We start from the raw sequence: 6,000 nt of genomic DNA, 5'->3' as shown, positions 1-6,000 counted from the left end.
ACAAACTATGGTAGGTGCAACAATATGGATAAATCTCCAAAACTTTATGTTAGTGATAGGAAATAAACAAAAAAGTGCATGTGCATGATTCCATTTATATAAAGCTCTAGAAAATGAAAATTAATCTCTGAGGACAGAAATTGGATCAGTGGTTTTTCAGTATTGGGAGTAAAGAGACAGATGGGCTATAAAGAACACAAAAAAACTTTTGGAAGTGATAGAAAGGTATATTATCTTTATTGTGGCAATGGGATCACAAGTACATATGCACAACAAACTGTGTTTGTACAACTTATAGTACATCAATTATACTTTAAATTGTTTTAAGAAATAAGAATTTTTAAAAACGTACTCTATATTGTCAATCACATCTAATTTGTTTCTCAAGCAACGGATTGCCAATAATTACAATAGTTTGAAAGGTATTTTAATCCATTCTATCTTTAAATGAAATATTAAAAGAAAGGCATATACAAGTCAGTCCTCCATAACCATAAGTTCTGCATCTGTGAGTTCAACCAATCACGGATCAAAAATATTTAGAAAAAGATTCATGAAGTTCCAAAAAGCATAACTTGATTTTGCCAAGCACTGAGTACTCCATTGAATCCACATGAATGAAGTGATGTGTAGGTCTTGTATTAGGTATTTTAACTGATCTAGGAACAATTTAAAGTGTATAGGAGGATGTTTGTAGGTTATATGGAAATATGATGCCATTTTATACCAAAGACTTGAGACTCTTTAGATTTTTGTATCTATGCAGAGTCCTGGAAACAGTCTGCAGAAGATACCAAGTGATGACTGTATAGGCAGTAGATTAAAATGGAGCTACTCTTCTTAAAATGAGGCTAGGTGGCCTGAAATTTCCAGTCTTACTGTCCCTTACTTTCCACCCCAGCCCTAGCACACCTGCATTTCCCCCTAGAGAGCCTGGTCTCTTATAAAATAGACATCTAACTCCATGTTTTTTCTAGAAATCTGCAGGTCCAATTATGCCAATCAATTACCATAGCAATCTCAGTGATGACAGTAGCTCATGATTGACTTGGAAAAGTCATTTATTTCTCTGGATCTCAATTTACCCATATTAAAAAAAAGAGTGATGAATCTTACTACTTATAAATTCTTGAACATTATTAGTGCTAAATAATTTTTATATATAGTTAATAAATTTGTACTCTATTGTCAATCATGTTTATAATTATGTTATATATATTAACATTTATAGTTAATATATATATACCTTATATATATAATTTTGTGTGTGTATATATACACACACATAAGTGTATATTACACATGTATGTATATTACACACATAATATACACATAAGTGTATATTAAAAAACCTCTCAAAGTTCAATGTGGGAAATAGAAATCAATCTAAATATTTCCAACATAAAATGATTTAATACAGAGAACTATACTCTTATAAAACCTTTGGAAGAACAGGATTAGAAAAGGTCAGGGAAGATGCTAATACCAGAAAGTACTAGTATCTCCAACAATTTTTGCTAAGCATATCAGTTACTAAGAGCATCAAAGTAAGTAATTTATAGGATAACAAACATGAGCTACTGACAAAATATCATATCTTCTTCTGACAAAGCCCAGCACCACCTACTGCTAGAGTAATCATGGCTTCTTCTTTTTTTTTTTTTTTGACCTTCCAAATACCTTGCCAGTACCTTTTAACCTTGTAAAAGTTAAGCTAGAATGGGATGATAAAGAAGTCTAGGAAATGTGGATTTTAGCCTTCTACTTGCTATGAGACAGAAAATGGCCTAATATATGGTAAGATGCTAACAGATAATCTAATGTAGGCAGTATTTAATGTGATAAAGGACAAAAGTATAGTGCAAGTAAAAAAGAAAACCTAATGAACAGTTACAAAATGTTTGTCCAATAAATAAATGAATATGTTCAATGTAGATTGAAATTACTAGAGCAGACATTATTGAAAAAACTGAATCAGATAGGAGTCTTGAAATGTGTGAAGATTTTCATTTTAAAAAAGTCAAGTAGACAGCTCCATGTATCAGTTGACTTTTGGTGTGTAACAAAACACTCCAACTTCGGGGCATTAAGCAGCATCTTTAAGTTATCTCACAATTCTCTGAGTCAATGATTTACTCTGGGCTCTGTTGAGAAGCTCTTCTGATCTCCTCTGAGTTCGCTCATGCAATTGTGGTCAACTGCTAGATTGCCTGAGGGCTAGTTTATCTAAGATGCCTTCAGCTGGAATGGTTCAGTTCTGTTATATGTGGTCTCTTCTTCTCCAGTCCACCAGACTTATCTGATTATCCTGGCACTTGTCTGGTTTCCAGGAGAGAGAGTGGAAACACACAACATCTTTTGGTGAGTGGGTTATGGAAGTCACAGCATGTCAATTCTACGGCAACCTATTGGTCAAAACAGGTGACAACTCTAGTTGTCCAGATTCAAGAATTAGAGAAACAGAGCCAAATTTTAAAGGCTGTGGATGCAGAAAGCCTGAAGAATCATGAGCATTGTTTTTATTGCATACTATACTATCTTCTGATAATTAATTCAGCCAATATTGTTAAGCTACATGGACAGGAGTGTTGTTTGTAGGATGGAGGATTAGGGAATGTTGAAGATTAGTTACGTGAACATAGTTTAATTCTGCAGTGTTAGGTAGTATTCGGTTTATAGACTCTTTTACTCTGAATATTAGATGTAAATGAAAGCAAATATCTTACTCAATGGCTTTGGTTTTTTTAAAATTTTTTTTATTTCCATAGGTTATTGGGAAACAGGTGGTATTTGGTTACATGAGTAAGTTCTTTTGTGGTGATTTGTGAGATTTTGGTGCACCCATCACCAGAGCAGTATACACAGCACCATATTTGTCGTCTTTTATCCCTCATCCCCTTCCCACACTTTCCTCCTGAGTCCCCAAAGTCCATTATGTTCTTCTTATGCTCAATGGCTTTGTTTTTAGGTGACAAACATTTGACCCCGAAATGTTTTTGTTTGTTTGTTTGTTTGTTTGTTTGTTTTGAGAGGCAGTCTAGCCCTGTTGCCCCCGCTGGAGTGCAATGGTGTGATCTTGGCTCACTGCAACCTCTGCCTCCCAGGTTCAAATGATTCTCCTGCCTCAGCCTCCCGAGTAGCTGGAATTGCAGGCGCCCACCACCACACCCAGATAATTTTTGTATCTTTAGTAGAGACAGGTTTTCACCATGTTGGCCAGGCTGGTCTCGGACTCCTGACCTCGTGATCCACCCGGCTTGGCCTCCCCAAGTGCTGGAAATACAGGCATAAGCCACCACGCCGGGCTGACCTGGAAGTGTTAAGTAAATTTCTCAAGGTCGTACATCCATCGGGTGTATTCAAATGGGACTGAAATCCTACACACGTCTGTTAATCTGAGACTGTAAATGTCAAGAAAAAAAAATCATTTTTATTTTTCTGGAGTACAATGTAAATGTATAAAACCTACAGGTAGGGGTCTATTTGTGTTTGTGTGCTTTCAGTACATGCAGACACACGCACTCTACACACACACATACACACAATAGGAAAAGGAGATATAAAAGTACCACTCTGCATAGGCCTATTGCCCAATTTTAATTTGGCTCTCCTCCTAATTTCTTTTATACCTGGAGCAGAAGTTATTCCCAGAGCTAATTCATACATACACTCTTTAGCACATGCCATCTGCTTCTGAAACCTGTGGCTGCACACAACACGTGTCCTGTAAGGTAAGTAGTTTCTGATCTCAATCTAGAATTAATGTAGTTCCTGCTTTTCTTTAGGAAAAATATAGAAATAAGTAACAGTAATCCTTTTATACAGCCATCTCCTCCTGCTTAGGAAAGACCCTCACAAGCGTACACAAGATGTACCCTCACAATAGTCTCATTGATGTATTCTCCAGAGTGCTTATTGATTTGCACTGAAGATATTGAATCTCCAATTAAAAGAAAAAAGTCCAAATTAGGGGAAAGACCTGTGAAATTATTTTAAATAATATTATAAACTAGTAATAGTTTGTATAGTGTAAGGTTACTAAGTAAAGCAGCCATGGCTTTTAATTCCATTTTCTGGATTTTTAAAATGTTGCAATCTTAGATAATTCAACATGTGTGAGCTCCAGTTTCCTCATCTTCAAAAAGAAGTGGGTGGGCAATAACAACAGTTATGCATCATCTGAATATTGTAATCATCCCTAGCGATAGATGCATGTGAAACATTAAATTCAGTGCATGGTACAAAGTAGATATTCGAATGTTAGCCAAGTATATCATTATATTATTAAACTGAAAAAGTCAATAAAATGATATAATTAAACAACCATAGTTGCTGTAATTCACAAATTAATTGTTGAGAGCAAATAGGGGTGGATTCTGGATAGCAGAGACAACAAAATCAATGTATGGATTAACGTGAGTAAAACAGCTTCCTATCATTGTGCTAGGTTTTGTGCCAGAAGCTTCACATGCGTTGTTTTTACTGAGTCCTCTTTAATAATCCCATTTCACAGATAGGAAAACCGAGACTCAGAGAAGTTAGATAAATAGGCTATGGTCTTAGGGTTAAGAAGTAGGACAGCTGGGATTTAGCCTTTGATTTTAAAGATGATTGTAGATTTATCATTTGTTTTTATTTACCCACATTACTTTCTGTGTCATTCTGTCATGTTTAACCTAGATAGAACACAGCCCTGGGTCTGGACTTCCACACTTTTGCTCCAATAAGTGTTCAGTTATATAATGTCCAATAAAAACATTTTTTGAGTTCCTTGTATAAATTGACAAGGTCAATAAACTTGAGTTGCAATTTTTTCTCCTGAGACGCAGACCAGATAGGAAAACCAGAGCTCAGACAATTCTGAGAGTTAAGTAGTAATGAAAAATATCAGGGAGGTTCTGGAGACAAGGGGAATGATCTTGGGGTCTGAAGCCTAGAGATCACATTTCTCGGTGCTAGTTCATGAGTGCTAGGAAAAGCCACAGCAAGTAGAATGTCCCAGCACTATGAACAAATGACATTACAATGTACAGAGGATGAGATTGGAAGGCCATACATGCTGCTCTCTGGAATTCTTACTCTAAGAAGCCTTGCCTGTTTTACATTGTCGTAGGAGGTACAAAAGAAATAATTGATTGCTTCAATGTATTTTCTCTCGGGGGCATTTTTGCCATTTCAGCTTCAAGACTAATCAATCGACGAAGCCATGGCTGTGACAAACCTAAACTTCACATGTCTTAACAGATCTGCATACATAGTAAGTTCTACCTAAATACTTGTGGCTGATGATAGAAAAGTGTGTTCATCTAGAAAGAGCCAGGGACTCGAATTAGGAAGAGCTAAGTTAAAAACTTGTGTACACCAATTCACTTTAACTTTTCAAATGTTTCCTCATCTGTATATCAAGCTTAGAGCATTGCTTAGGGTGATAAAAGGAGGTAAGAATTATGAAATTACTATTCATATTTTCCATAAAAATTCTTTGGTTTATTCCTTTCTGTTCATCTATGTTACATATTCCTAAAAAGAAGACTAAATCTATACCCAGTAGTTTCAATGCTTGGGTTCTATTTGCAGATTATCAAAGAAGTCTCTCCTGACAATCCATTTGATAGAACTGCAATACATTTTAATTGCCACCTGCGTTCTTCGGGGCTCTGTTGCCTGTATTTTGGGGACGCTTTTCAAAGAGGAGTAGAAGTTAAAATATTTTGCAGCTGCTCTGTGACATAAACCAGGAAGGCAGTCATCATCTTTATAGTTTCCTCTTCCTACCTGCCACCTCTAGTCATTCACCTGCTCAGTGAATCTCTACATTTCTCTCTATCTCCTCGGTACCTATCCTAGCCCTCTTGCACTTGCACAAGGATCTTCAAAATTGTCTTTCCATTTCCAGTTTTATTGCCTTCGAGACACTTCCTTACATTGCAAGTAAAGTGATCACTTAAAGAGCACATGAAAAATACTATGACCACAAGGGTCATGAAAACTCCTTAGCTT

At 36.1% G+C, this 6,000-nt stretch overlaps 1 long non-coding RNA gene across 1 annotated transcript in view; it reads left to right on the top strand.

The window, feature by feature from the left end:
• The first annotated feature begins 1,651 nt into the window (after nucleotides 1-1,651).
• The window catches only part of LOC105376243 (uncharacterized), an 8,863-nt gene continuing 4,514 nt past the window's right edge, over nucleotides 1,652-6,000 (top strand). Inside the window, exon 1 of the long non-coding RNA XR_001746917.3 lies at nucleotides 1,652-5,257. This is a non-coding gene — a long non-coding RNA (uncharacterized LOC105376243). The remainder of the gene's footprint in view (nucleotides 5,258-6,000) is intronic.

The sequence above is a fragment of the Homo sapiens genome, chromosome 9, assembly GCF_000001405.40.
Source record: "Homo sapiens chromosome 9, GRCh38.p14 Primary Assembly".
NCBI classification, from domain to species: Eukaryota; Metazoa; Chordata; class Mammalia; order Primates; family Hominidae; genus Homo; species Homo sapiens.
Note: the sequence above shows the minus strand (reverse complement) of the source record. Positions and strands in the feature narration are given on the sequence as shown.